General features: G+C 53.1%; 1 protein-coding gene across 16 annotated transcripts in view, besides 8 other annotated features; it reads left to right on the top strand.

The window, feature by feature from the left end:
• The window catches only part of CHST12 (carbohydrate sulfotransferase 12), a 45,037-nt gene extending 21,626 nt beyond the window's left edge, over positions 1-23,411 (top strand). For 3 of the 16 annotated variants that reach the window (XM_011515444.3, XM_047420571.1, XM_011515443.3), the window contains exon 2: positions 7,490-10,127. In XM_011515444.3, the coding sequence (XP_011513746.1) occupies positions 7,567-8,811 (1,245 nt within the window). In that variant the 5' untranslated portion in view covers positions 7,490-7,566 and the 3' untranslated portion in view covers positions 8,812-10,127. Of the gene's footprint in view, positions 1-7,489 lie in introns of those variants that run through there. The other 13 variants (NM_018641.5, NM_001243795.2, NM_001243794.2 and 10 more) reach the window with 11 other exon arrangements.
• Positions 7,062-7,954: an enhancer, noted in NCBI's record as "H3K27ac-H3K4me1 hESC enhancer chr7:2471770-2472662 (GRCh37/hg19 assembly coordinates)". NCBI's record gives its function as "activates a minimal SCP1, AML or CMV promoter by ChIP-STARR-seq in naive H9 embryonic stem cells {active_cell/tissue: H9 hESC(naive)}" and the evidence as "EXISTENCE:reporter gene assay evidence [ECO:0000049][PMID:30033119]".
• Positions 7,955-8,846: an enhancer, noted in NCBI's record as "H3K27ac-H3K4me1 hESC enhancer chr7:2472663-2473554 (GRCh37/hg19 assembly coordinates)". NCBI's record gives its function as "activates a minimal SCP1, AML or CMV promoter by ChIP-STARR-seq in naive H9 embryonic stem cells {active_cell/tissue: H9 hESC(naive)}" and the evidence as "EXISTENCE:reporter gene assay evidence [ECO:0000049][PMID:30033119]".
• Positions 17,553-18,053: an enhancer, noted in NCBI's record as "H3K4me1 hESC enhancer chr7:2482261-2482761 (GRCh37/hg19 assembly coordinates)". NCBI's record gives its function as "activates a minimal SCP1, AML or CMV promoter by ChIP-STARR-seq in primed H9 embryonic stem cells {active_cell/tissue: H9 hESC(primed)}" and the evidence as "EXISTENCE:reporter gene assay evidence [ECO:0000049][PMID:30033119]".
• Positions 23,390-23,573: a silencer, noted in NCBI's record as "fragment chr7:2488098-2488281 (GRCh37/hg19 assembly coordinates)". NCBI's record gives its function as "represses an EF-1alpha promoter that drives an FKBP-Casp9 reporter gene in an ReSE screen in phorbol 12-myristate 13-acetate-treated (for megakaryocytic differentiation) K562 erythroleukemia cells {active_cell/tissue: K562(+PMA)}" and the evidence as "EXISTENCE:reporter gene assay evidence [ECO:0000049][PMID:32094911]".
• Positions 26,163-26,818: an enhancer, noted in NCBI's record as "H3K27ac-H3K4me1 hESC enhancer chr7:2490871-2491526 (GRCh37/hg19 assembly coordinates)". NCBI's record gives its function as "activates a minimal SCP1, AML or CMV promoter by ChIP-STARR-seq in naive H9 embryonic stem cells {active_cell/tissue: H9 hESC(naive)}" and the evidence as "EXISTENCE:reporter gene assay evidence [ECO:0000049][PMID:30033119]".
• Positions 26,819-27,472: an enhancer, noted in NCBI's record as "H3K27ac-H3K4me1 hESC enhancer chr7:2491527-2492180 (GRCh37/hg19 assembly coordinates)". NCBI's record gives its function as "activates a minimal SCP1, AML or CMV promoter by ChIP-STARR-seq in naive H9 embryonic stem cells {active_cell/tissue: H9 hESC(naive)}" and the evidence as "EXISTENCE:reporter gene assay evidence [ECO:0000049][PMID:30033119]".
• Positions 26,819-27,480: a biological region, named in NCBI's record as "H3K27ac-H3K4me1 hESC enhancer GRCh37_chr7:2491527-2492180".
• Positions 27,401-27,480: a silencer, noted in NCBI's record as "silent region_17872". NCBI's record gives its function as "represses an Ori minimal core promoter by ATAC-STARR-seq in GM12878 lymphoblastoid cells {active_cell/tissue: GM12878}" and the evidence as "EXISTENCE:reporter gene assay evidence [ECO:0000049][PMID:35858748]".

Below are 27,589 nucleotides of genomic sequence, written 5' to 3' on the forward strand. Positions count from 1 at the left end.
CGGGCGCCTGTAGTCCCAGCTACTCGGGAGGCTGAGGCAGAAAATCGCATGAACCCGGGAGGCAGAGATTGCAGTGAGCCGAGATTGCACCACTGCACTCCAGCCTGGTGACAGAGCAAGACTCCGTCTCAAAAAAAAAAAAAAAACAACAAACAAAAAAAAAACGTAAAAAAACAAACCCCGGCCCAGTGAGGACCGCGCTTAGTCAGCATGTCGGTCAAGACAGGTGTGGACACAACCACAGTGCAGACAAGGGTGAGTGCCAGGAGAGAGGGGTCCAGACTGTTGGGCTCTTCCAGAAACCCCAGACCAGGTCATAGCCACTGAAAATGGATATATTTCATATTCACCTTTTACCCTCCACCCCCAAAAGGGCCTATGAGATGGCCCTGCTCAAACATCTAGAAAGAAAGAGATAGGATCTGGCCTCTGACGGAGATGAGTGCCTCTGGGGATCCATGCCCTGTGGCCACCATTGTTTCTGGATGTGGCTGAGGTCACAGGACTGTTGTGAGCACAGGTGGTGAGTCACCTGTAAGGCCCACACGCGGGACAGGTGCAGGGGGCCCACATCTGCAGATGTGTGTGTGTTCAAATGCAAAATAGCACTGCATTTGCTTTTTTTTTTTTTTGTCTTTTGTCAAGCTTGTCCCTTTTCCTCTTGTATCCAACTTGCAGGTCTTCTCCCATGCTGTCTATTTGATCTTTATTTTTTTGGGTGGAGAACTTACCACTTATCCCACTATACGTTTCCATCTCTTATTTATTTTCAGCTTTACTTCTCGTCTTTCCAGGGTGTCATCTTTCTGAATGCAGATTCTGGGGAGTCTGCACTCTGGTGGTGGCAGCACAGGTGCCAGGGGTCAGGGGTTAGACGCTCTGGGGGAAGGGCCTGGCAGAAGGCAGTAAGCTGGAGGGAGAGACAGGCTGGGGACGACGGGGCTCGCTAGATCAGCAGGGGACCTCTTTGGGGGACCTGCATAGTCCGGGATGGGAGTAGGTAGATGGGCATCGTGCGAAGGGACTGCCAGTGAGAAGAGGGCAGCTGGCTGTGGGGACGAATATTCAGGGGGCTGGGACTCATTTCTGTAAAGGAACCAACGTCCTTAGCAAGAAGCCAAGGCAGGAAGGTGGCCCAGGGTTGCCCCAGGATAGGACCTGGCATGGAACCTCAGGGGCTTGGTCACAAGGGGCTTCAGAGCCAGGCTGATGTGATGGGGGCCTCTGAGCCTGAGATTCACTCGGTATTGACTGCACCCTACCATGTGCATGCACGTGGTGAGCACAACCAGACGGAGCCCACCCTCCCCAGCTATGTGAGTGAGAGCGGGAGTAATTAAACATACACACCCCAAATAAGCACACAGTTGCTGATGGGACCTATGGAGAGTGCATAGTCTGGGATTTGACCCAACTGGGAAAGACTTCGCTGAGCTGGGGATGAGTAGGTGTCTACTGATGACGGGGCAGGGGCGGGTAGACAGATGTCCTTGCCTTGTTCATGATCTTGGTGGTAAGGTACTCACTCTTGCACCCTTAATTATGAGGTTAGCTGTAGGTTTTTTTTTTTAAAGCACTCAGATTGTTGCTAATATTAAAAAAATATAACATACAAGAGTGACAGGAGAGACATACAGTCCGGGTGTGGTGGCTTATGCCTGTAATCCCAGCACTTTGGAGGCCGAGGAAGGTGGATCACTTGAGGTCAGGAGTTCAAGACCAGCCTGGCCAACATGGTGGAGCTCCATCCCTACTAAAAATACAAAAATTAGCCGGGTGTCAGGGTGGGCACCTGTAATCCTAGCTGCCTGGGAGGCTGAGGCATGAGAATCACTTGAACCTGGGAGGCGGAGGTTGCAGTGAGCCAAGATCATGCCACTGCACTCCAGCCTGGGTGACACAGCGAGACCCTGTCTCACAAAAGAAAAAGAGAGAGAGAGAGAGACATATAAATGAAAAAGTACTCAGTTTAAGAAATTTGTAGCACTTTGCAAGGCCGAGGTGGCCAGGCTGAGGCATGAGAATCACTTGAACCCGGGAGGCGGAGGTTGCAGTGAGCCAAGATCATGCCACTGCACTCCGGCCTGGGTGACACAGCGAGACCCTGTCTCACAAAAGAAAAAAGAGAGAGAGAGAGACATACAAATGTAAAAATACTCAGTTTAAGAAATTCATAGCACTTTGCGAGGCCGAGGTGGCCAGCTTGCTAGAGCCCAGGAGTTCAAGACCAGCCGGGTTAACATGGTGAGACCACAACTCTATAAAAAATTTTTAAAAATTAGCCCGGCCCAGTGGTGTGTATCTGCAGTCCCAGCTACTTGGAAGGCTGAGACGGGAGGATCACTTGAGCCTAGGAGGTCAAGGCTGCAGTGAGCTGTGATTGTGCCACTGCACTCCAGCTTAGGTGACAGAGCAAGGCTCTGTCTTGAAAAAAAAAAAAAAAAGTTTACACATTTGTTTGAAGATGAAAAGTTCAACACAGTTTGGGCCTTCCATCTGCCACCCCCCCCTACAGAGATGATAGAAAAATGGTACAGCTGTAGGGTGTTTGTAGATGCCCTATAAGTTGAGGATATCCTCTTTGCTAAGTTTGCTGAGAGTGTTTATAATGAATGGATATGGGTTTTGTTGTTCCTTCCTGTAGGAGTTGATTTTTTAGCTTGTTAATATGATAGATTACATGGTTGATTTTTGAACATTGAGCCGTTCTTGCATACCCTACTTGGTCATGCCGTGACTCCTTTTTGTTTGTTTGTTTTTTGAGATGGAGTCTTGCTCTGTCACCCAGGCTGGAGTGCAGTGGTGCGATCTCGGCTCACTGCAACCGCCACCTCCCAGATTCAAGCGATTCTCCTGCCTCAGCCTCCCGAGTAGCTGGGACTACAGGCACCCGTCACCATGGCCAGCTAATTTTTTGTATTTTTAGTAGAGACGGGGTTTCACCGTGTTTGGATCTCCTGACCTCGTGATCCACCCACCTCGGCCTCCCAAAGTGCTGGGGTTACAGGCGTGAGTCACTATGCTGTGATTCTTTCTATACACTGCTGGATTTGGTTTATTAATATTTTGAGCATTTTTGCATCCAAGTTCATAAGTGATATTGGCCTGTAGCTTTCTCTCTCTCTTTTTTTTTTTTTTTGAGACAGAGTCTTGCTCTATCACCCAGGCTGGAGTGCAGTGGCACAATCTCGGCTCACTGCAAGCTCTGCCTCTCGGGTTCAAGTGATTTTCCTGCCTCAGCCTCCTGAGTATCTGGGATTACAGGCGTCCACCACCATGCCCAGCTAATTTTTTGTATTTTTTAGTAGAGACGGTATTGTGGGATCTGGCCAGAAGCCCACAATGCAACGGGGCTCTTTTATTTGTTCCCAGGCGGATCAGCAGGTCGAGAAATAATAGACACACACAAGACAGTGAAAGCTGGGTCCGGGGGGTGACCGCCTTCTGGTCCTGCGATGCCGCCAATGCACTGGATATACCAGCATTTATTATTAAGTTTAGTGAGGGCGGGGGTAGGTTAGTGAGGGATTTAGGGTCATTTGATTATGAGGTGAGATGGTCACATGGGGATGAAGTAATTCTTTAACATAACATCTGTATGCAGAAGTACAGTATACAGAGATAAGAATTTACAATATAGCATGTGCATCAGTAATTTCTAACAGCCTTAAAACAGAAACACAGGCTTTCCATAACCTATGATTAGCAAGATATTAATCAGCAGTAATAGTTGCAGCAAAAGCTGGTTACAAACAATCCATAGAAACAGGACGTGAAGCTAGACAGCCAGTTAGACCAGAAATTCTCAGAAGGGAGTATGCCTTAACCCTAAAGAGGCCTAGAAGAGCCGTGGCAAGATGAGGGCGTTTATAGCACTATCTTATCCATATGGACAGGCGCCCCCCATGCGTCCGTTTGTAGGCTCTCCACAAGGGTCGCATTCCATTCCCAGAGCTATGAACATCTGCTTTTCTGGGATAGGAATCTTGGTGATGTGAAAGCTCCCTGACTGCATGTCCGTTCATAGGCTCTCTGCAGGGGGAAGCATATCACGTGCTGTTGGCTCATTCTGACAGTCCAACCTGGCATTGTCTTTACACAATCCTGAATGCAACTTTGTATTTACAGTAATCAGGAGCATTTCATCTTTTATTCCATAGCAATAGTTTCAGGGGGTCTCCCTACAAGACAGGGTTTCGCCATGTTGGCCAGGCTGGTCTTGAACTCCTTGACCTCAGGTGTTCCTCCTGCCTCAGCCTACCAAAGTGCTAGGATTACAAGCGTGAGCCACGACGCCCGGCCTCTTTTTTTTTGTACTTATTTTCACTGGTTTGGGTATTAGGATGATGAGTTGGACATGTCCTCTCTTCTCCTTTCTGTAAGAGATTGTATAAAATTGATGTTGTTATTCTTTGAATGTTTGATAGAATTCTTCAGTGAAACCATCTGGGCCCAGAGATTTCTTTTTAAGGAGCTTTTACGTTACAAATTTAGTTTCTTTAATTAGTATAGGATTATTCATTTTGGTAGTTTGTGGTTGTCAAGGAATTGGTCTGTTTCATCTAGGTTGCTAAATTTGTGGGCGTAAAATTGTTTGTAATAGTTCCTTATCCTTTCAATGGCTGCAGGATCTATAATTTCATTCCTTGTCTTGTTCCTGATAAAGATAATTTGTAGGTTTTTTTCATTTGTTTGGTTGGTTTTTTGTTTTTGTTTTTCTTTTGAGACAGGGTCTTGGTCTTGCTAAGACCAAGGCTGGAGGGCAGTGGCACGATCTCGGCTTACTGCAGCCTTGACCTCCTGGGCTCAAGCGATCCTCCTGCCTCAGCCTCCAGAGTAGCTAGGACTACAGGTGCATGCCACCATGCACGGCAGATTTTTGCATTTTTTATAGGGATGGGGTTTTGCCATGTTGTCTAGGCTGGTCTTGGACTCTAGGGCTCAAGAGACCCTCTCGCCTCGGCTTCCCAAAGTGCTAGGATTATAGGAGAGAGCCACCGTGCCCGGCCTTTTCTGCTTTCTAATGCTCTTGGCACCACAGTGACTGTAACATATGTTGTATTTTCATTCTCATTCTATTCTGTGTACTTTAACTTTTTCCTTTGCTATTATTTAGAAATGTGTCATTTATTTTCCAGGAATTTGTGTTTGTGGATTTTCCTGTTGTCTTTTCTGTTATTGATTTCTAGTTTTATTCCTTTATATAAAATATTTCAATTCTTTTATTTTTATTTATTTATTCATTTTTATTTATTTTTTTGAGATGGAGTCTTGCTCAGTCACCCAGGTTGGAGTGCAGTGGCACAATCTTGGCTCCTTGCAACCTCTGCCTCCTGGGTTCAAGCGATTCTCCTGCCTCAGTCTCCTGAGTAGCTGGGATTACAGGCGCCTGCCACCATGCCCAGCTAATTTTTGCATTTTTTTAGTAGAGACGGGGTTTCACCATGTTGGCCAGGCGGGTCTTGAACTCCTGACCTCAGGTGATCCACCTGCCTTGGCCTCCCAAAGTGCTGGGATTACAGGCATAAGCCACCATGCCCAGCCTAAATTTTGTATTTTCAGTAGAGACAGTTTCACCATGTTGGCCAGGCGGGTCTCCAACTCCTGATCTCAAGTGATCCACCTGCCTCGGCCTCCCAAAGTGCTGGGATTACAGGCATGAGCCACCACACCCAGCCTAAATTTTGTAATTTCAGTAGAGACAGGGTTTCACCATGTTGGCCAGGCTGGTCTCCAACTCCTGATCTCAAATGATCCACCCGCCTTGGCCACCTGAAGTGATGGGATTACAGATGTGAGCCACCGTGCCCTGTCAAGATTTCAATTCTTTTAAATTAGCTGAGGTTTGGTCTACCATGGTGAATGTTTTGTGGACACTTAGAAAAAACTGTGTTCTCTTGTTAGGTGAGTGTTCTGCATATGTCGGTTATGTCCTGTTGGTTGCTGGTGTTGAGTTCTTCTGTATCCTTGCTGATTTTCTGCCTCATAGTTTTGTCAGTTATCAAGAGTGAAGTGTTGAAGTCTCCAGCCATAATTGTGGATTTGTCTGTTTATCCTTTAGCTCTATCGATTTTTGCTTTTTGTATTTTGAGGCTCTGTTGTTTGGTGCATACATGTTTAGGATTGTTATGTCTTCCTGGGGATTGAACTGTTTGTCATTATGTAATGTCCTTTTGTCTCTAGTAGTTTCCTTCCTTCTGAAATTTGCTTCATCTGATATTAAGATAGCCACTCCTGCTTTCTTTTCATTAATATTTGCATGATTAATGTTTTCCATTCCCGGGAGAGAGGAGGTGAGAAAGTAGAGGGCCAACTTGCCCCACCTCTAACCACCTCACGCCATGTCATGGGTGCCAGATAGGGGTGGAGTAGAGTTGGAGTTCAGCTCCTACTGGGCCCTGACCTGGCTGGGGGAGAGGGAGTCAGAGTGTGGACTCTCCTGCCTCACACCATCTCCTTCCACCTTGTGGATGCCAGGTGGGGTCAAGGCTTAGCTCCCTGCTGGACCACACTGACAGTACCCTGGTGGGACAGACAGAGGAAGCACCTCTACTTCCATGGGCAGAGGAAGGGGTATCAGCTCCCAGCTCAGCCCCACCAACACCCCCTGGTGCCTGGCAGGGGAATAGCAATGTGCCACTTACTTTTGGGAAGCCAGGGTGGTGTGGAAGGTCAGCTCTCAGGGTGGCCCTGATGAAGCTGTAGGGTGCAGTTTTTCCATTGGCATTCGACTTAAGTAGAGTGGGTGTTGCCAAAACAATTTTCCTGTTGTTGGGTCACTGTGAAGTTAAGGAATGGTTCCCAAGACCCCTCTTACTTATGACACCAATAGCAAATGCAGGCGTCCCTGAGACCACTGTGGGGTTTGATGATTTGCTAGAAAGATTACAGAGCTCACTGATCACAGTTATTCTTGTGGCTATGGTTTATTATAGGAAAAGGATATAGATTCGAAGATTAAAATCAGCCTTGGCAGGAGAATGGCGTGAACCTGGGAGGTGCAGCTTGCAGTGAGCCAAGATCGGGCCACTGCACTCCAGCCTGGGCGACAGAGCGAGACTCCATATCAAAAAAAAAAAAAAAAAAAAAAAAAAAAAAAAAAAATCAGCCTTGGGAAGAGTTGCAGAGGGCAGAGTCCAGGAGGGCTCACACCTGGAGCTGGTCTCCACTCCCTGGGAGGCGTCCTCTTCTTGGGAGTTGTGGGCAATATTACTTTCCCGCCAGTGGCGAGTGTCAGCACATGTGGAGTACTGCCAGCCAGGGAAGCACGCGAGCCTTGGCGTCCAGGGTCATTACTGGTGCTCGGGCACATGGATGTGTAGACTCCCTGCACTGCTGACCTCAGCCTCCAGCCCCTCTGGAGGGCGAGCTGATATCACGTGGCCCAGCGCTCCTGCTCCTCCGGACCCCAGTCCCCCACTGATCAGAAGGCAGGAGTCAGAGCCCCAGTGCACCTCAGTCATTAACTAGTGTGTCATTGCATCTGCAGGTTCCCAGCAGGATGCCCCGGCTCTGCAGGAAGCTGAAGTGAGAGGCCCGGAGAGGGCCCAGCCCGCCCGGGGCAGGATGACCAAGGCCCGGCTGTTCCGGCTGTGGCTGGTGCTGGGGTCGGTGTTCATGATCCTGCTGATCATCGTGTACTGGGACAGCGCAGGCGCCGCGCACTTCTACTTGCACACGTCCTTCTCTAGGCCGCACACGGGGCCGCCGCTGCCCACGCCCGGGCCGGACAGGGACAGGGAGCTCACGGCCGACTCCGATGTCGACGAGTTTCTGGACAAGTTTCTCAGTGCTGGCGTGAAGCAGAGCGACCTTCCCAGAAAGGAGACGGAGCAGCCGCCTGCGCCGGGGAGCATGGAGGAGAGCGTGAGAGGCTACGACTGGTCCCCGCGCGACGCCCGGCGCAGCCCAGACCAGGGCCGGCAGCAGGCGGAGCGGAGGAGCGTGCTGCGGGGCTTCTGCGCCAACTCCAGCCTGGCCTTCCCCACCAAGGAGCGCGCATTCGACGACATCCCCAACTCGGAGCTGAGCCACCTGATCGTGGACGACCGGCACGGGGCCATCTACTGCTACGTGCCCAAGGTGGCCTGCACCAACTGGAAGCGCGTGATGATCGTGCTGAGCGGAAGCCTGCTGCACCGCGGTGCGCCCTACCGCGACCCGCTGCGCATCCCGCGCGAGCACGTGCACAACGCCAGCGCGCACCTGACCTTCAACAAGTTCTGGCGCCGCTACGGGAAGCTCTCCCGCCACCTCATGAAGGTCAAGCTCAAGAAGTACACCAAGTTCCTCTTCGTGCGCGACCCCTTCGTGCGCCTGATCTCCGCCTTCCGCAGCAAGTTCGAGCTGGAGAACGAGGAGTTCTACCGCAAGTTCGCCGTGCCCATGCTGCGGCTGTACGCCAACCACACCAGCCTGCCCGCCTCGGCGCGCGAGGCCTTCCGCGCTGGCCTCAAGGTGTCCTTCGCCAACTTCATCCAGTACCTGCTGGACCCGCACACGGAGAAGCTGGCGCCCTTCAACGAGCACTGGCGGCAGGTGTACCGCCTCTGCCACCCGTGCCAGATCGACTACGACTTCGTGGGGAAGCTGGAGACTCTGGACGAGGACGCCGCGCAGCTGCTGCAGCTACTCCAGGTGGACCGGCAGCTCCGCTTCCCCCCGAGCTACCGGAACAGGACCGCCAGCAGCTGGGAGGAGGACTGGTTCGCCAAGATCCCCCTGGCCTGGAGGCAGCAGCTGTATAAACTCTACGAGGCCGACTTTGTTCTCTTCGGCTACCCCAAGCCCGAAAACCTCCTCCGAGACTGAAAGCTTTCGCGTTGCTTTTTCTCGCGTGCCTGGAACCTGACGCACGCGCACTCCAGTTTTTTTATGACCTACGATTTTGCAATCTGGGCTTCTTGTTCACTCCACTGCCTCTATCCATTGAGTACTGTATCGATATTGTTTTTTAAGATTAATATATTTCAGGTATTTAATACGAAATGTGGAAGGGAATGCTGGAGTAAAATATCCCCTCTCCCCTCCGCCCGCCCACCCGCCCGCCCGCTCGCCCGCTCGCCCGCTCCTGTGGTTTTTCTGAGCGTGCGGGCGCCGGGAGGGGATGCTGAGGCTGATGGAGCTGCCTCCAGGGCTAGGGCCACTCACCGGAGGAGGGCGGGGCCTGCACTTGAAGTCAGGCCGCACCTGTCTGTTTTTGGAAGGGTAGCCGACAAATCCTTCCAGAGGGAAAGTTCTTTGTTTAAGTGTTGTACTTGAAAAGGTCAATCTTCAGGGCTTCCTGTTTGAAGTCAAGTCAGAGGTAAACCGGTCAGTTACAGAAGCAGGATTTCTAGGATTTCTAACTCCAGCTGTTCCCATACTGTCTAGTTTAAATTATGGCTGTTAAGGCCGGGCGGGTGACTCAGGCAGGTAATCCCAGAACTTTGGGAGGCCCAGACAGAAGGATCGCTTGAGGTCAGGAATTTGAGACCTGGCCAACATGGTGAAACCCTGTCTCTACTAAAAAAAAAAAAAAAAAAAAAAAAAAAAAAAAAAAAATGAGTCGGGTGTGGTGGTGTGCACCTGTAGTCCCAGCTACTCAGGAGTTCTGAGATGGAAAGATTGCTTGAACCCAGGAGGCAGAGGCTGCAGTGAGCTGAGATCGCGACATTGCACTCTAGCCTGGGTGACAGAGTGAGATTCCATCTCAAAATAAATAAATAAATATTAATACATTATGGCTATTAAGGCTGGGCACGGTGGCTCATGCCTGCAATCCTGGCACTTTGGGAGGCTGAGGGGGGAAGATCACTTGAGCCCAGGAGTTCAAGACCAGCTTGGGCAACATAGCAAGGACCTCATCTCTACAAAAAATAAAAAGGACGTGGTGGTGCACATCTGTAAACCCAGCTACTCAGGAGGCTGAGGAGGGAGGATCACTTGAGCCCAGGAGTTCAAGATCAGTTTGGACCACATAGCGAGACCCTGTGTCTACAAAAAATAAGAAAATCAGCCGGACATGATGGTGCACACCTGTAATCCCAGCTACTCGGGAGGCTGAGGCAGGAGGATCGCTGGAGCCCAGGAGTTCAAGGCTGCAGTGACCTATGATCGTGCCACTGCACTCCAGCCTGGGCAGCAAAGTGAGACTCTGTTTCTAAATAGACAGATAGAAGATAGGTAGATAGATAGATTAAATAGAAAGTAAACTATGGCTGTTGAGGTTTACAGTTGGCAGGAGTGGAGTGGTTTGGCGTTTATCTCTAGACCGTGCTGGATGACAGTACCCAGTGTCACCAAGAAGAGGCTCCGTGTGACTGTCTCTGTGGCTTTCTGGTTGGTTTAGCTCCAGTGCCTTCACCCTCAAGGACACGACTGACCTTGAACCCTCAGGTTTGATGGGCCCTGTCTTGATAAAAGTGTCAGAGGAGGCTCTGGAAACATCTGGCTGAAACTCCTTTGCTATTTCTGCTTCTAAGCTGTAGTTGGAGAGATGGTTGCAATCATTTCGTGGTGTCGGGCACCCTGCTTGACCTGTCTTCCTCGTGTGTGGTATTTGTCACCACTGCCCAGTCCCTGGTTGCTGGCCACGCTCAGTTGGGACATACCCTGGTGTCCTCTGTGTGTGGTGTCCCTGTGTTTCCCAGGCTCAGGTGGGCTTGTGTGGGTCTTGGCCCCCAGTGCCTGCTAGCCTCAGGTGTCCCCTGTGTTAGACACCTCCTGCCTTCCTTTCTGAAGCTTCGCTTTCTTTTATTTTTGTTTTGTTTTGTTTTTGGAGACAGGGTCTCGCTCTGTCATCCGGGCTGGAATACACTGGTGCAATCACAGCTCACTGCAGCTTCAACCTCCTGGGCTCAAGTGATCTTCCCATCTCAGACTCCCAAGTAGCTGGGGTTACAGGTGAGCGCCAGCCTGCCCAGCTAGTTTTTTATTTTCAGCAGAGATGAGGTCTCACTGTGTTGCCCAGGCTGCTCTCAAACTCCTGGGCTCAAGTGACCCTCCTGCATCACCCTCCCAAAGTGCTGGGATTACAGGCATGAGCCATCACACCTGGCCCCTCCAAGTTTTTTATTATGATAAAAATGTTTAATTTTAAACGTACCATCTTAACCATTGTTAAGTGCACTGTTGTGTGGCATTAAGCACATTCGTATTGTCGTGCCACCACCACCATCATCTCCAGAGCTTTCTCATCTTCCCAAACTGAAACTCTGTCCCCATTCAGCACTCGCTCCCCATTGGTAGAAGGCAGCAGCTTCCACTCTCTGATTTCTACTACCCGAGCTCCCTCAGAAATGGAGTCACACAGTATTGGTCCTTTTGGGACTGAAGTACTTCACCTCATGCAATGTCCTCTAGGTTCATCGGTGTCGTGGCAGGTGTCAGAACTAACTTCCTTTCTGAGGCGGAATAATGTCCCATTGTGTGGAAGAGGCATGGTTTGTTTATCTGTTCATCAGTTGGTGGACACTGAGTTGCTTCTGCCTTCCTGCGAATGTGAATTGAATGCTGCTGTGAACAGGGTGTCAGTGAATCTGCTGAGGGCTTGTTTTCCGTATTCTGGGCATGGCCCTTTGTGTCTGCCTTTGCTGGAGCACCTCCCCGGGATGCGTTTGTTTATAGGATGTTCAGACGAATGTCAGAACCCACTGGGCGGTTCACTCACTGAGGGGGGCCCGCGTCCCCTCCATTTCTGCATTCCCAGTTCTTGGTATGGTTCCTCTGAGGTTCGGTTTTCCTGAGCACCTGGGGTGTTTGCAGGGATGTGGAGGGGTTCCTGCAGAAGACACCACCCACATCCACGCACCTGCTCAGATTCCCGGGCCATGGTCGGGGCCACCGCCCGTGGGGATGACTCCGGATGGGAGTGGCAGAAAAGGGCCTGCTGGGCCGAGGGGAGGCGTCTCCGGGAAGAGAGGGAGGTGTGAGCGGGGAGAACCCACTTTGATTCTTCGCTGTTTGCCTGATGCGCAGCACCACACTGCGTAGAGACCTTTGGCTCTGGTTTTTTCTTTTTCCACTGAAACACAGCAAATTATACATTTTATGAAAATTGGCATCGTACAACTGGAAAATTTAACCATAAACTTAAAACTCTTTTACCCTGTTGGCCCCCATCCTCCAGCTGTGTCCACACTTTGAGCACAGTCATGAGAATGACTTGGTTGGGTGCGGGGTGGTGTCACAAAGCCCTGTCTCTTGTGTGATGGCTGCGCCTCGAATCAGTGGGAGGGCACCTCGCCCGTTTACAGTTGGGCAATGCTTGGGCTGGGCGGCCTGGCTGCTCCTGGACTCGCCTCCCAGCGTCTGATGCTGTGTATTTTCCATCTGCCCCAGGAATTTGACACAGGTGTGACTTGCAGGTTGTGTGGGTGATGCCTCCCTCCCTCTTTCCTCTTAAAGCATCTCATGCTTCTTCATTCGCTGATACTTACAACCCCCAGTGGATATTTAGTGGAGTTTGCTGTAGTGCTTTTGCCATTTATTTGGACTATTGGAAAAATTTCAGGTTTGGTTTTGGCCCTATGTCTTGATGGAGGGCAAGGGTTAGGATTTCAGTTTATCTTCCCGGTGAGGTCTGAGCACGTCTGTGCCCTGAGGTGGGTGGTTTGGTGAAGGTGGGGCTTTAACCTAGCTCTGCCACTTAGGAATCAGAACACACACACACACGCGCGCACACACACACACACACACACACTCTCTCTCACACACACATCGGGATATTTTTCTTGTTTCCTTCTTCCAGAGGGTGTAGGAGTTGTGTTCCAAGTTTGTTCCTGCAAACCCTCCGATGAGGCCAGCTGCATTCATCGGGGCCTGGATGGCCGCACCTCTCTCTCCCCGCCCTGTCTCCTGCACTCAGGTGAGAGGCTGGCAGGGCTGCCGTAGGGGTGGAGAGTGAACGCAGGGTGGCTAAGCCCTCGTCCCTGTGAGGGACAGTGACACGGATGGGAGCAGCCATCTGAGCTGGAAGCTGTGGACATGGTCCTTGTGTGGGTCCAAGCAAAGTGGGTGGCGTGTGCATTTTGTGAACACGTGGTCTGCTTCCTGGTGCAGACCAGGTCTCCCCAGAGGGACCCTCCTGAGCTGAGCTGCCCGGGGCACCTGTCCCTGGATGTGAACTGCCTTGGTTGTACCTTGGTGGGGGGACCTTTCCTGAATGTGTTGGTTCGGCATGGTGACAGGTGTTTCCCTGCGGCAGAATGTTGGGGCCACACCAACGTCCCCAGAGTCTTCTCCCTAGAGTCTCTGAAAGGAAGCCTGGGTTCCTGGTGGTGCTCCCCTCCATGTGTGCTCACCCGCCTGTATGGAGGCAGCCCAGGGGAGCGGCTGAGACTCTTGGCAGAGAGCTGGGGACGCTCTGTTCTCATTGGCAGCCCCACCCTGAAGAATAACAGACTCCCAAATATCACACAGGCTGCAGATACCACCCAGCCCCCAAGGATGCCATCACCAGGCTGGGGCGCTCCCATGCCCATTATCCAGGGGTAATTTTTGCTCACTTATTTATAAGCCACACATCCTCTTCTATCCTACCAAACCTAAGAATATCAAAAGGGAAAGCTTGGCTTGCATGGACGTAATTAACCTAAAAGTCTTTAAACGTTTCTCCCGAGTGTTGGAGTGACTGTTTGCACACATCTGTTGTGTTTTGCCTGTGTGCATTCCTCCTCCTGGTCAGAGAGCCCGTCTCTTCCGCCCTCTCCCTTACCCTAGGAGGGCTGAGTCAGGCCTCCCTACCCAGGCCCAAGGGCAGATGCACCTGAGCCATTGTGTCCCATGGTTGATACGGGACGGGGCTGATTTCCTGACCTGGACCCCTGAGACCCAGTGCTCTTAGCTGTGAGCCTCTGGGAAGAGGTTCTGGCAGGTGGAGGGGATGGACGTTACAGTGCTGTGGCCACCTAGAAAAGCCGTCCCGGAACTGAGACCAACTGCTGAGGGAGGAAGGGCCACCAGATCGGGGGCCGGGCCGGGGTGAGCACCTGAAGCCGGCTCCACCTGCTCTTCTCAGCTGTGCGCCTCCAGGAATTTGCACTCGCTTCAGCTGATTTGGGTTGGATTTCTAGCGTTTCACATACAGGATCTAGACTCGCACACAACTGCATTAATATGTTGGTGTTTGATAAACTAGGGTTGAAGGAGTTCCATCAGTGAAGAGAGAAGCCACGTGACCTGAGGATGCAGGGCACTGTTCACGTGGACATGAGCCGTTTCTTAGCATCATGAGATTTTAGAAACATGTTCTTACTCTGCCAGGACCCAGGGATAGGTGAGGCTCTCCTATTGGGATACCATTTCACCAGCAGAGAGATTAATTGGAGAATGTGTAATTTTTTCCCCTTTGGAAATAATTTGTTCTTTTTTTTTTTTGACAGAGTTTCTTTCTGTCATCCAGGCTGGAGTGCAGTGGTGTGATCATAGCTCACTGCAGCCTCGACCTCCTGGGCTCAAGTGGTCCTCCCACCTCAGCCTCCCAAGTAGCTGGGACTACAGGCATGCACCACCATGCCCGGCTAATTTTTACATTTTTGGTAGAGGCCGGGTACGGTGGCTCATGCCTGTAATCCCGGCACTTTGGGAGGCCGAGGTGGGTGGATCACGAGGTCAGGAGATCAAGACCATCCTGGATAACATGGTGAAACCCCGTCTCTACTAAAATACAAAAAAATTAGCCGGGCGTGGTGGTGGGCGCCTGTAGTCCCAGCTACTCGGGAGGCTGAGGCAGGAGAATGGCGTGAACCCGGGAGGCGGAGCTTGCAGTGAGCGGAGATTGGCGCCACTACACTCCAGCCTGGGCGACAGAGCGAGACTCCGTCTCAAAAAAAAATTTTTTTTTTTGGTAGATACGGGGTCTTGCTTTGTCACCCAGGCTGGTCTCAAACTCCTGAGCTCGAGTGCTCCTTCTGCCTCAGCCTCCCAAAGTGCTGGGATTACAGGCGTGGGCTGCTGTGCCCAGCAGGAATAATTTCTCAGTGCATCTCTGATGGGGAGGCTAATGAAGAAAGGACACCTGGTTTGAAGGCTTCTCTGTGTCTGTCCGTGGGCGCTACTGATCTGAGCCAAGCACCATTCCGCAGGCATGCCTGAAATGACTCCCATGGCTGTCATGGTGCCATCTGGAGAGCATTTGCTCACTGTAATGGTCCCGTCACACTTGTCTGATGAGGATCTGTTGGTTGACTTTGACAGTGATAAACGAACACAGCCTATCTGGGTGTTTTTTGCACTTATAGTTTGGGGGTTTGAAGTACTGGCTAGAAGCTGGCGGGGTGTGTGTGTGCAGGTGTGCGAGTGCATGTGCAAGTGTGCGTGCAAGTGTGAGTCTGCACTTGTGTGCAAGAGAATGTGTGTGTGTGTGTGTTTGGAGATTTGGACTTGAAAATTCTAGCTCAGGTCTTTGGGGTAGTGTTTGACCTGAACTCTGAAAGGCAGAGGGTCCCAGACTTTCCTGGGATGATGGGAACTGGGCACCCCAGATGAGGCTCGGTTGTGAGTAGGAGCGGGGTGGGCCACCGAAGAGAAGACAGAGTGGGCCTGTAGGGCCAGCCCGAGGTACCCACAGTGGAGGGTCTACAGGCTGATTTGGGAGGTGGTGGTTTATACCTGTAGTCACCTTCTATCTTAGTTAGGAATTCACCTTCACACTTCCAGAAACTGCCAAGAAGAATGCCGCCGCTCAGGTTTATCTGGTAGAATAAGCTGTTTGAACAAAGATCTGGAGGTTGCACAATCCTGTGTCATTCTGGATTTATCTTGGGGTCGGGAGTCAACGATACTTCTTGTGCTGTCGTTTCTCCGGCCGTGTGAAGTTACCACCTCGTGAGTGGTCATAAGTTAGCGTGTCTAAATGCACTTTGAAATCCTAGGATGAAAAAGCCAGGCCCTGTCTTTTTTCCTTGTCTAAGCACCATCCTTGCTTAGGAGAGACACGGCTGTGGCTCTCAGGCTGTGGGGCAATGTTCTGCTTATAATGTTTCAAGAGGTTCAAAGCGTGCAGGCCCCATGCTCCGTGAGAGCCTTGACCTGGGTCAGCAGGGGCGGCTGGGCTTGACTCGAGAATTCCCACAGGGCCCGAGGGAAGAGCAGAGCAAGAGGGAGGAGCGCGTGGAGCCCTATGTGGCCTGCGATATTGGGGTGGCGTCCAGGCCCGCCTAGATGGGGGAGGGAGACAACAGAGCTGCCACCTGCTCACCGCAGACCCAGGGGCCCAGGAGGAGCGGACTAGGACCGGCAGTGCCTTCCAGCCTAGGTCTCCTGCCCCTGGGCTGGAGTTCATCTTTTAGGCAAATTTGGAATAGGAACCTTAAAAATGCTTTCTTCACTCGTTTAAATAGTAATGATAAGAATATGGCTGCAGGGGGCAGCTTATGCCTGTAATCCCACCATTTTGGGAGCTCAAGGCAGGAGTATTGCTTGAGCCCAGAAGTTTGAGACCAGTCTGGGCAACATAGTGGAAACTTGTCTCTCCAAAAGCTAAAAGAAAAAGCCGTGCATGGTGGTATGCACCTGTAGTCCCAGCTACTTGGGAGGCTGAGGTGGGAGGATCGCTTGAGTCTGGGAGGTCGAGGCTGCTGTGAGCCATGATTGCACCACTGCATTCCAGCCTGGGTGACAGAGCAAGATCTTGTCTTAAAAAAAAAAAAAAAAAAAAAGGTGTTGTATTTTATCATTAGAAGGCCATCCTGTTTAGAAGAGTGGGTTTCTCATAAGAAAAAAAAGAAAAAGGTTGACCTTGTAAGTATATTTTCTTGGGTGAATTGTGGTGGTGGTAATGGTTTTAACTGGTGTTAATTTCAGTTCTTTTAAAAGTTGTGGTAAGATACATGCAACATAAAATGTGCCCTCTTCCCCATTTTTAAGTGAACAGTTCAGTGGCATTAAGCACATTCAGTTTGCCTGCCACCGTTACCACCATCCATCTCCAAAATTCTCTCCATTTACAAAACTGAAACTCTGTCCCTATTAAACACTAGCTCCCCATTCCCCACTGTGCCGCCCCCCCAAAGCCCCTGGCACCAACCATTCTACTTCCTGTCTCTGAGTTTGACTAGGGACCTCCTGTAAGTGGATTTGTACAATATTTGTCCTTTTGTGTCTGGCTTCTTCATGTAGTATAATGTCTTCAAGGTTCATTCATGTTGTAGTCAGGATCACCTTCCTTTTAAAGGTTGAACGATATCCCGTTGTATGGACAGACCACATTTTATCCATTCACCCAGGGATGGACACCTGGGTTGCTTCCATCTCTCGGCTCTTGTGAATAATGCTGCTGTGAACACGGGTGTGCAGATACCTGTTCAAGTCCCTGCTGTTTTCTTTTGAGACGGAGTCTCGCTCTGTCTCCCAGGCTGGAGTGCGGTGGCACCATCTCAGCTCACTGCAAGCTCCGCCTCCCAGGTTCAGGCCATTCTCCTGCCTCAGCCTCCCGAGTAGCTGGGACTACAGGTGCCCACCACCACGCCTGGCTAATTTTTTGTATTTTTAGTAGAGACGGAGTTTCACCATGTTAGCCAGGATGCTCTGGATCTCCTGACCTCGTGATCCACCCACCTCGGCCTCCCAAACTGCTGGGATTACAGGCATGAGACACCACGCCCCGCCGAGTCCCTGCTTTTAATTCTTTGGGGCAGGGATCCCCAACCCCCTGGTGATGGACCAATACTGGCCTGCGGCCCCTTAGGAACTGGACTGCACAGCAGGAGGTGAGCGGCAGGTGAGCGTGCATTCCCGCCGGAGCCCCGCCTCCCGTCAGATCAGCGGCGGCATTAGATTCTCATAGGAGCGGGAACCCTCCTGTGAACCCTGCATACCAGGGTTCTCCATGCAACAATCTAATGCCTGATGATCTGAAGTGGAACAGGTTTTTGTTTTTTTTTTCCAGACAGAGTCTTGCTCTTTCGCCTAGGCTGGAGTGCAGTGGCATGATCTCGGCTCACTGCAACCCCTGCTTCCTGGGTTCAAGTGGTTCTCCTGCCTCAGCCTCCCAAGTAGCTGGGATTACAGGTGCCCGCCACCATGGCCAGCTAATTTTTTTGTTTATTTGTTTATTTATTATTTTTTGAGGTGGAGTCTTGCTGTCACCCAGGCTGGAGTGCAGTGGTGCAATCTCAGCTCACTGCAACCTCTGCCTTCTGGGTTCAAGCCATTCTTGTGCCTCAGCTTCCCGAGTAGGTGGAATTATAGGCGTGTGCCACCATGCCCAGCTAATTTTTGTATTTTTAGTAGAGGCGGGATTTCACCATGTTGGCCAGGCTGGTCTCACTCTTGACCTCAAGTGATCTGCCCGCCTCGGCCTCCCAAAGTGTTGGGATTACAGGTGTGAGCCACCGTGCTCAGCCTGAAGTGAAACAGTTTCATCCCAAAAGCATATACCTCTGCCCCATCCATGGAAAAATTGCCTCTCATGAAACCAGTCCCTGGTGCCAAAAAGGTTGGGGACCGCGGCTCTGGAGTATATGCCTAGGAGTAGGAGTGTGGGGTCATATGGTAATTTATCTTTAATTTTTGGAGGAATTGAATTTCAATTCTTATTATTACCAAAAATACTTAAAATTCTTACAGATGGCATGGGAAAGTAGCACACAGTCGGGACTCTGCAGCCGAGTTTGCCTCCTTGAATGCACACATAACACAGGAACAAAGACAGAGCTGCTTCCCTCCTGTTGGGTCTCTGGCGGACAGTCAGGTATGCTGAGGGAGACACTGTTCTCAAACTCCAGGCCAGGGTGGTTTCCGGAGGGTCCACCGGTGGTCTCATCTCTTCTCTCTCAAACCATGGATGGTGCCTTTTAAAGAAAATGACACCGGCCAGGTGCGGTGGCTCATGGCTGTAATCCCAGCACTTTGGGAGGCCGAGGCGGGTGGATCACCTGAGGTCGGAAGTTCAACACCAGCCTGGCCAACATGGTGAAACCCCGTCTCTATTAAAAATACAAAAATTAGGCCGGGCGCGGTGGCTCACGCCTGTAATCCCAGCACTTTGGGAGGCCGAGGCGGGCGGATCACGAGGTCAGGAGATCGAGACCATCCCGGCTAAAACGGTGAAACCCCGTCTCTACTAAAAATACAAAAAATTAGCCGGGCGTAGTGGCGGGCGCCTGTAGTCCCAGCTACTTGGGAGGCTGAGGCAGGAGAATGGCGTGAACCCGGGAGGCGGAGCTTGCAGTGAGCCGAGATCCCGCCACTGCACTCCAGCCTGGGCGACAGAGCGAGACTCCGTCTCAAAAAAAAAAAAAAAAAAAAAAAAATACAAAAATTAGCTGGGTGTGGTGGTGGGCACCTGTAATCCCAGCTACTGAGGAGGCTGAGGCATGAGATTCGCTTGAGCCTGGGAGGCAGAGGTTGCAGTGAGCTGAGATCGCGCCATTGCACTCCAGCCTGGGCAACAGAGTGAGACTCTGTCTCAAAAAACAAACAAAAATCAAAGTGCCAACCTCTGGGCTGTCCCCTCCTGGCCTGCCTTGTTCCTGAGCTCACCAGGGTCCTTCACTCTGTGGCACTGGCCTCAGCCAGCACCAAGGCTGAAAGAGCCCATTCAGAGGCCAGAAAGAAACTGTTAGGCTCTGAAGCCGTGGGCCAGGCCAAGACAGAGATTCTGAGGCATGGTTCTGGAATGGGTTTTTCCGCCCACAGGCACTCAAGGAGGACAGCATTGGGAGATGGCTGGGTGGAGAGTCTGCGGGAGGCTACAAGGCAAAAATCCCCTACTCCCCCTGGGCTCCTTCACAGTTTGTGTGTCCTCACAGAGCAAGGAAGTTCTGTGAGCCTCATTCAATCATCTGAGGTTCTTCCCAGGAAAATTATAGTGGGAACTCTGGCTTTGATGAAACTGCTTTTTTTTCAAAGCAGTTTGCAAAATAACCGGGGCCTTAAAAAACAATCTGGATGAAATGGTTTTTGCCATTTCAATTGGTTCTCTTCCAACGTGTCTTCCTTCCAGTAGGTTTCCAGAATATTTTGGTTTCAAAATTTGGGGGCACAGATTTGCAAAGTGGATTTCAACATGTCGGGTTTCAAAGGGGGCTGGCTTTGAAAGTGGTCTGGGCTTCTAAAAGGTTTGATTGAAAACTGGTTTGGTTCTCAGACATTCCAGAAGCTTCTCCCGGAGTCCAGAGCCTCCCAGTGGTGCTTTGGGAAGGGGGCCAGGCAGGGCGTCCTGGTGAGTGGACGTAGGGTGGGCAGGGCCACCCTTGTCCTGGGATGTTGTGGAGGACTTGGCACGCCCTGTCTCAGGCCTGGCTCTGGCTCTGGGTGGATGTTTTGCATCTTCAGAAAAAAGCTCCTGTGGGATATTTCTCCTCCAGCCGACCCCGCCCCCCAGGGCATTCGAGAAAAGGGTGCTTGTCTCTTGGTGAGAGGGCCACGGTTCCTTCAGTTTCTCCGTTCCTACGGGCCTCTTTCTTTTTCCTTTTTGAGACGGAATCTCACTGTGTCGCCCAGGCTCACTGCAACCTATGCCTCCCGGGTTCAAGTGGTTCTCATGCTTCAGCCTCCTGAGTAGCTGGGATTACAGGTGTGTGCCACCACATCCAGCTAATTTTTTGTATTTTTAGTAGAGATGGGGTTTTCCCATGTTGGCCAGGCCGGTCTCGAACTCCTGACCTCGTGATCTGCCCACGTTGGCCTCCAAAGTGCTAGGATTATAAGTGTGAGCCACCACACCAGGCCCGTTTCATCCCTGCCTCAGCCTGCATGCCAAGCTCCCTGGGTGCCCGCCCACAGGTGTCACCCTTTAAGGAGAAAGTGGCCTGGGGCTGGAAACAGGACTTTGTAGGGAAGGACAGCGCGTGTGAGAAAAGGCCTGTTGATGGGCACGCCAGGGTTTAATGGACGGCTCTTTGAAGTCATGGGCTGAGCCAGAAGGAATTGTCATGATGTCAGTCTCATTTCCAGATGGGGAAAGGGAGACCCAGGCTGCGGTGACCCACTGAGGCACAGGATCAGTGAGAACCCAGCCCTGGCTTTGCCCAGACCTCTCAAGGGCACTTCGTGGGACCATTGCCGGCCGTTGTGGCATCTGTCCCTGGCCTTGCCCCCATCCGTCTCTGCACAGCCCAGGTGGGTCCGAGCCAGCCCCAGGTCTCCAGGGTCCCAGCCCAGCCTCTAGAAGAGCCAGCAGCAGGGCTGGAAGGGAGAGCACATGCTGGGCCTTGGGGCTGCCTTGGACCTCAGGCCGTTGACAAGGAAAAGCGGAGAGTTGGGAAAAAAGGACAAATAGCTGAGCGCCAGCCGCAGTCTGGGGGACGGGAGCCTCGTGCGACTCTCGGAGTGCTGGCCAGATTGGCAGAGGGGAGGAGAGAGGAAAAACCCAGGCTCTGAGGAAAAACCTCTCCAGCCCAGCGCGTGGCCTGGCATTAACCCACTGCAGCCCCAGGAAGTGGTTCCACCCCAGGCAGCCAACAAGGCGGTGCCTGAACTATGTCTGTGGATGACGGAGCCACGACCTGTCCCTCAGGGCTCAGCGCTGCGGCTATGTCCAGGGACCCCTGGCTGTGCCCACGTCGGGGCTTCCCGTTCCTTACCTGCCATGAGAATGAGATGTCCAGGGACCTCCCTGCTCCAGCTGGGACCTGTGGGGCTTTGTCTGTTGTCCCGAGCACCTTGGAGATGTCATTTCTAACATTTTAACCCAGGAATCCCCCCACCAAGGGACAGAGTGCAAGGACATGATCGAACAGAAAAAGTTCTGGTACAAGATCAACCCCGTGGGGTGGTGAGTGCTGCAGCCCCGGGCCTCACATCCTGCCGTCCCTGTGGGAGATTGGAGCGGTCCCAGTGCCCACCGCTGATTCTCTGGCTCCAGCAACCCCTCCAGGTGGATCCGTCCCACGCAGCCTGGCCTGAAACACTGCCCAGCCACTGGGTCCAGTAAGACAGAGCCTCGAGTCATTCTGCCAAGAGGATCCAGAAACACAGACTTTTTCTGGGGTCCTGGAGGCTTCTGGCCCATGGGGAGCCCCTGGGTCCCAGCGATCCAGCCCTGATGTGCTGAGGGTGCAGGGCCCAGCTGCAGAGCAGAGGAGAGTGGCCCCCAGGGACCAGCAGCACGAAAGGCACACTGAGGCACACTGGCAGGCCTGGGCTGCAGAGAGCCTGAAGGTCATGGGGTAGCTGGTGGAAGCAGGAAGACCCCATACAGCAGCGACCACTGAGGCTGGTGCTGCACTTTCTCAGGGAATTGAGTGTGGGCTCCCACCATCCCGGCCACTGGCTTCCTCCAAAGCCTCCTCCTCTTACATCAGCAAACCTTCTGTTCGGTGACCCCCTCAGTGACCCTCTGTGCTTGCCTTCGTGGTCTTCCTCATGGAGGATTTCGGGTCAGCGTGGGGGTCAGAGGTCATTTCCCATACCCCCTCAAAGGTACTTCTTGCTGTGGTCCCCACACTCTGACACCCTCTTCTGAAATGAACACTTTTTTGTTGTTGTTGTTGAGACAGAGTCTTGCTCTGTCGCCCAGGCTGGAGTGCAGTGGCACAATCTTAGCTCACTGCAACCTCCACCTCCCAGGTTCAAGCGATTTTCATGCCTCAGCTTCCCGAGTAGCTGGGATTACAGGCATGTGCCACCAAGCCCAGCTAATTTTTGTATTTTTAGTAGAGATGAGGTTTCACCATGTTGGCCAGGCTGGTCTCGAACTTCTGACCTCAAGTGATTCGCCCGCCTCGGCCTCCCAAAGTGCTGGGATTACAAGCATGAGCCACTGCGCCCGGCCACAAACACTTTTTTTTTTTTAAACAAGTGAAAACAAGTTTATTAACAAAGTTAAGAAATAAAGAATGGCTATTCCATAGGGAGAGCAGCCTGAATAAACACTTTTTTTGTTGTTGTTGAGGCAGAGCCTCACTCTGTCGCCCAGGCAGGAGTGCAGTGGTGCGACCTCAGCTCTCAGCTCCCTGCACCGTCCACCTCCTGGGTTCAAGCGCTTCTTCCCCAAGTAGCTGGGACTATAGGCACACACCACCATGCCCGGCTAATTTTTCTCTTTTTAGTAGAGACAGGATTTCGCCATGTGGGTCGGGCTGGTCTCGAACTCCTGGTCTCAAGTGATCCGCCCTCCTCGGCCTTCCAAAATGCTAGGATTACAGGCATGAGCCGCCGTGCCTGGCCACAAACATATTTTAAATTTGAACAATAAAGGAACTGGACCAGGAAGTGTGGAGTTGGGGAGACCCTGCTCTCGCCAGGTGCCTTCCCGGCAGGTTGTCTCTGCCTCCCCTTGCACCCCTTGAATGGCGGGCTCCCTCTCCCATAGCCCCTGCCAGGCTGGATAACCAACTTCATTCTTATACCCGTCCGAATCTGCCCCCTGTTAATGGCACCCACCAGTCCTTGTCCAAACCTCGAAGCTCAGGACCTCACAGAGCACCACGTCCTCTTCTGTGTCATATGCAGCTGGATCTCAGTAAATGGCAATGTCTTCTCTACCCGGGACTGAACAAAACCCATTCCTCCTATGAAAGCCGATAAGACCTGGGGGCAGAGCAGCCCGCCTTCTGTCCCCGCGGCTTTAGGGGACACCGGCCACCCACCCTCAGCTTCTTCCCCCACTTCTTGGAGAATGTCTGCGATGTGGGTGAAGACTGGCAGAGAAAAGCTGGTGTAACCTTCTGCAGGGGTTTCGAGCAATTCTGAATCTCAGCTGGTGAGGAGGCCAAAACCTGCTCTGCCTAGCAGACTGGTCATGTCTCCCTTTCCCTTCCCTTCCCTTTCCCTTCCCTTCCCTTTCCTTGTCCTTCCTTTTTCCTTCCCTTTTCCTTTCCTTTCTTTTTCTTTCAGAGTTTCGCTCTTGTTGCCCATGCTGGAGTGCAGTGGTGTGATCATAGCTCACTGCAGCCTTGAACTCCTAGGCTCATTTCTATTTATTTATTTATTTAGAGATGGAGTCTCGCTCTGTCGCCCAGGCTGGAGTGCAGTGGCACGATCTCTGCTCATTGCAGCCTCTGCCTCCCGATTCAAGTGATTCTCCTGTCTCAGCCTCCCGAGTAGCTGGGATTACAGGCGTCTGCCACCACGCCGGGCTAAATTTTTGTATTTTTAGTAGAGTCAGGGTTTCACCATGTTGGCCAGGCTGGTCTCGAACTCCTGACCTCAGGTGATCCACCCTTCTTGGCCTCCCAAAGTGCTGGAACTACAGGCATGAGCCACTGCACCCAGCCTTCTTTTTAAATATACATTTTTTGAGACAGGGCCTTGCTCTGTGGCCCAGGGCTGGGGTGCAGTGGCATGATCATGGCTCACTGTAGTCTCCACCTCCCAGGCTCAAGCCATCCTCCTACCTCAACCTCCTGAGTAGCTGAGACCACAGGTGCCTGCCACTATGCCTGGCTAAATTTATATTTTGTGGAGACAGGGTCTTGCTGTGTTGCCCAGGCTTGTCTCAAACTCCTGGGCTCAAGCAATCCCCCTGCCTTGACCTCCCAAAGTGCTGGGATTACAGGCCTGAGCTGCCGTGCCTGGCCTGGTCACATCTTGAATGGAATCGGGCTCCGTATTGTCCAGATACCTCCCATATTAAAAAAGAACTGGGGCCGGCAGCAGTCACACTTCCCAGCCCTTCCCTGAGCTTGGGTCTGGTGGGAGTGTGGAGACAGCAACAGGGTCCCTGTGTGTGCAGTCTGGCTGCAAGACTCAGGGGTGTGCGTGTGTGCACCTGTGTGTGCACCTGTGTGTGCACGGGTGCAAGGGCATCTGTGTGTCGTTTTCTTACAGGAAGGCGTGGGCCAATGACCAGCTGGAAGTGCAGGTTCATGTGTCCTCAGACAGTGGCTGGTGCCTCACGCTGGCTTCTGGCTGTGACCAGGGTAGCAGAGAGAGCAAAGAGGTCCTTTCCTCAGGTGGGTGGAGTGGGGCTTGAGCACAGTCCACATGCAGAGATGAGTGTGGACTCGGAAGACCCTGACCCCCTTGTATCAGTGTGTAGGGGAGGTCTCAAGGTCATTGCCCTACAGAAACCAGGCTGGGTGCGGTGGCTCACACCTGTCATCCCAGCACTTTGGGAGGCTGAGGCGGGTGGATCACCTGCGGTCAGGAGTTCGAGACCAGCCTGGCCAACAAGGTGAAACCCCGTCTCTACTAAAAATACAAAAATAAGCTGGGTGTGGTGGCACATGCCCGTAATCCCAGCTACTCAAGAGGCTGAGGCAGGAAAATCGCTTGAACCCGAGAGTTGGAGGTTGCCGTGAGCCGAGATTGCGCCATTGCACTCCAGCCTGGGCGACAGAGTGAGACGCCATCTGGAAAAAAAAAAAAAAGCGTAAAGAATTCCCTCCCTGGGGCCGAGGTGGCAGCTCTCCACACCTTCCCACAAGGGTGCCAGCTGAGGAGGGACAGTGGAAGGGGCCCCTGCAGGGCTGGGGGATGCCTCTGAGCGTTCCAGGCAGGCAGGCACAGGCAGGAGCTCCTGGAGCTGTAGCCTCCTCACCCAAGGCTTCCAGCTCCTTCCTGTGTGGGGTCTCAGACACGCGACCCACCCGGACGTCCGTGACAGTGTAGCTTCTTCATCTCCGGCATGACCCGAATTTCCTCGGGGCCCCCCACTCCCTGGGGAACAGGAAGAAAATACCCATTTCACCCTCACTGATATACACAGCACACAGGCACCTACGTACACACTTGCACACATCCAGTGTCTCAGCCCGTGGCTGCTTCCGCCCCACTGCCCGTCTTTGTAGCAGGACACAGGTGCACGCCTGGGGCCCAGGGCTCTCATCCAAGCTGGTATGTCCCACCGCCCCCCACCCTCTCCCAGGCACCCAGCATTTTGAGCCCAGAATCATGGGAAACTCCCGTCAGGTCCACACGGTGCTGAGCCCAAGCCTGCAGGGCTTGGGGGAGGTGGGCTGCTCTCAGCTTCCCCCAGCCTGGCCTGGCATCTCCTGGACCCCCGCAGGGGTGGCAGCTCAGCCCCTTGTGGGTTTTTTCTTTGGGGGGACAGACTCTCGCCCTGTCACCCAGGCTGAGGTGCAGTGGCACGATCTCGGCTCACTGCAACATCCACCTCCCGGGTTCAAGCGATTCTCCTGCCTCAGTCTCTTGAGTAGCTGGGATTACAGGCGCCTGCCACCATGCCCAGCTGTTTTGTATTTTTAGTAGAGATGGGGTTTCGCCATGTTGGCCAGGCTGGTATCGAACTCCTGATCTCAGGTGATCTGCCTGCCTCAGCCTCCCAAAGTGGTAGGATTGCAGGTGTGAGCCACTGCGCCTGGCCCTGTTCCAGGATCTTGGCTCTCTGTCCCGGGCAGGGTGCTTCCGGGCCTCTTTGATTCTGGCCACAATGCTGAGCCTGTCCCGCAGCCCTGGGAGTGGCCCCCAGACCTTCCACTGCCCCAGGAATGGCTGACGCAACTATTCCCCCCAACCAGTGAGACCTGTGCCTGCCCGAGGAAGGTGTGAGCCGGGCCATTTAGAGGAGCTCCCTCGGGTGGATCCACCTCTGAGTCCTGGGCCTGCAGCCTGGCACAGGGCTCCTGGAGGGGCTGCATGGAGCTGGGCAGGCCGGGCCCTGGGCATCTTCCACCAGGGGGCAGCCACGGCTCAGGAACGCGACCTGCGGCGCACCCTTGGCTAAACGCGGCTGCACGCAGGGCATGGGGTGGCCGGCCAAAGCGCATGTGAACCTGGTAATGCAATGTCCCCCGTGGGTCCGAAAGCCCTGAGGCCACCCGAGTGAGCATCCCTCCAGCCCTGAGGCCACCCTCCCGGGCCTCTGAGACACGGTCCCTGTGTGGGTGGCTGTACAGTCCCGGTTCTGGACAGGCCGTGGGGGGCACAGGAAGTGGCTGCTCAGCCCCCTGGGCGGCTGGACCAGGAGGGCACTGGGTGATCTGGGGGCACCGTGGCAGGGCTGGGCCTGGTCACCCAGGCTCTGACGCCCTCGTGATTCCTGTCTGCTGGGCCCCACAGCGCCCTCAGCACCATGCTGGCCATGCTGGCCAGAGCTGTCTTCCTCCCACCAAACACTGTCCGTGAGGGCGACCTGTTTCCAGTTTGAACCAAGTTCACACTGACTCCACCACTCACTTGCTGTTGGGTCACTGCTCTGGGCCCCTCTGGGGGACTCAAGGAGCTGAGTGGCTCCGACTCCCCAGGCCTGAAGCCCCAAGACGCGCTGCCAGGACCACGCTGGCTGAGGCCACTCTTTGAGCCCCTCCCCCACAGGTGGCCGAGCACACACAGTCCAGTGGGCTGAGGTGGCCCCAAGGGCAGGAACGTGGCATCTCTTCCCACCAGTCAGTGGCTCTGGGGGCACAAGGACTTGTCGGGGGAAGGAGGCAGCAACCGCAGGTCAGAAGCTGGAAGCAGCGGCCACTCAGCAAATGACACAGCTGAGCCGGAAAACCCAGTCCCAGGGCTGTGAAGAGCTGGGGCCGGCCTCACGGGGGCTCCCCAGTTTCCCCTGCCCGGCCCTGGGCCGGCCTCACGGGGGCTCCCCAGTTTCCCCTGCCCGGCCCTGCCCTGCCCTGCCCTGCCCTGCCCTGCCCTGCCCTGCCCTGCCCTCCCCTCCCCTCCCCTCCCCTCCCCTCCCCTCCCCTCCCCTCCCCTCTCCTCCCCTCCCCTTTCCTTCCTTTTTCTTTCCTTCTTTCTTTTCCTTCTTCTTTCCTTC

Source organism: Homo sapiens, chromosome 7 (genome assembly GCF_000001405.40).
Source record: "Homo sapiens chromosome 7, GRCh38.p14 Primary Assembly".
NCBI classification, from domain to species: domain Eukaryota; kingdom Metazoa; phylum Chordata; class Mammalia; order Primates; family Hominidae; genus Homo; species Homo sapiens.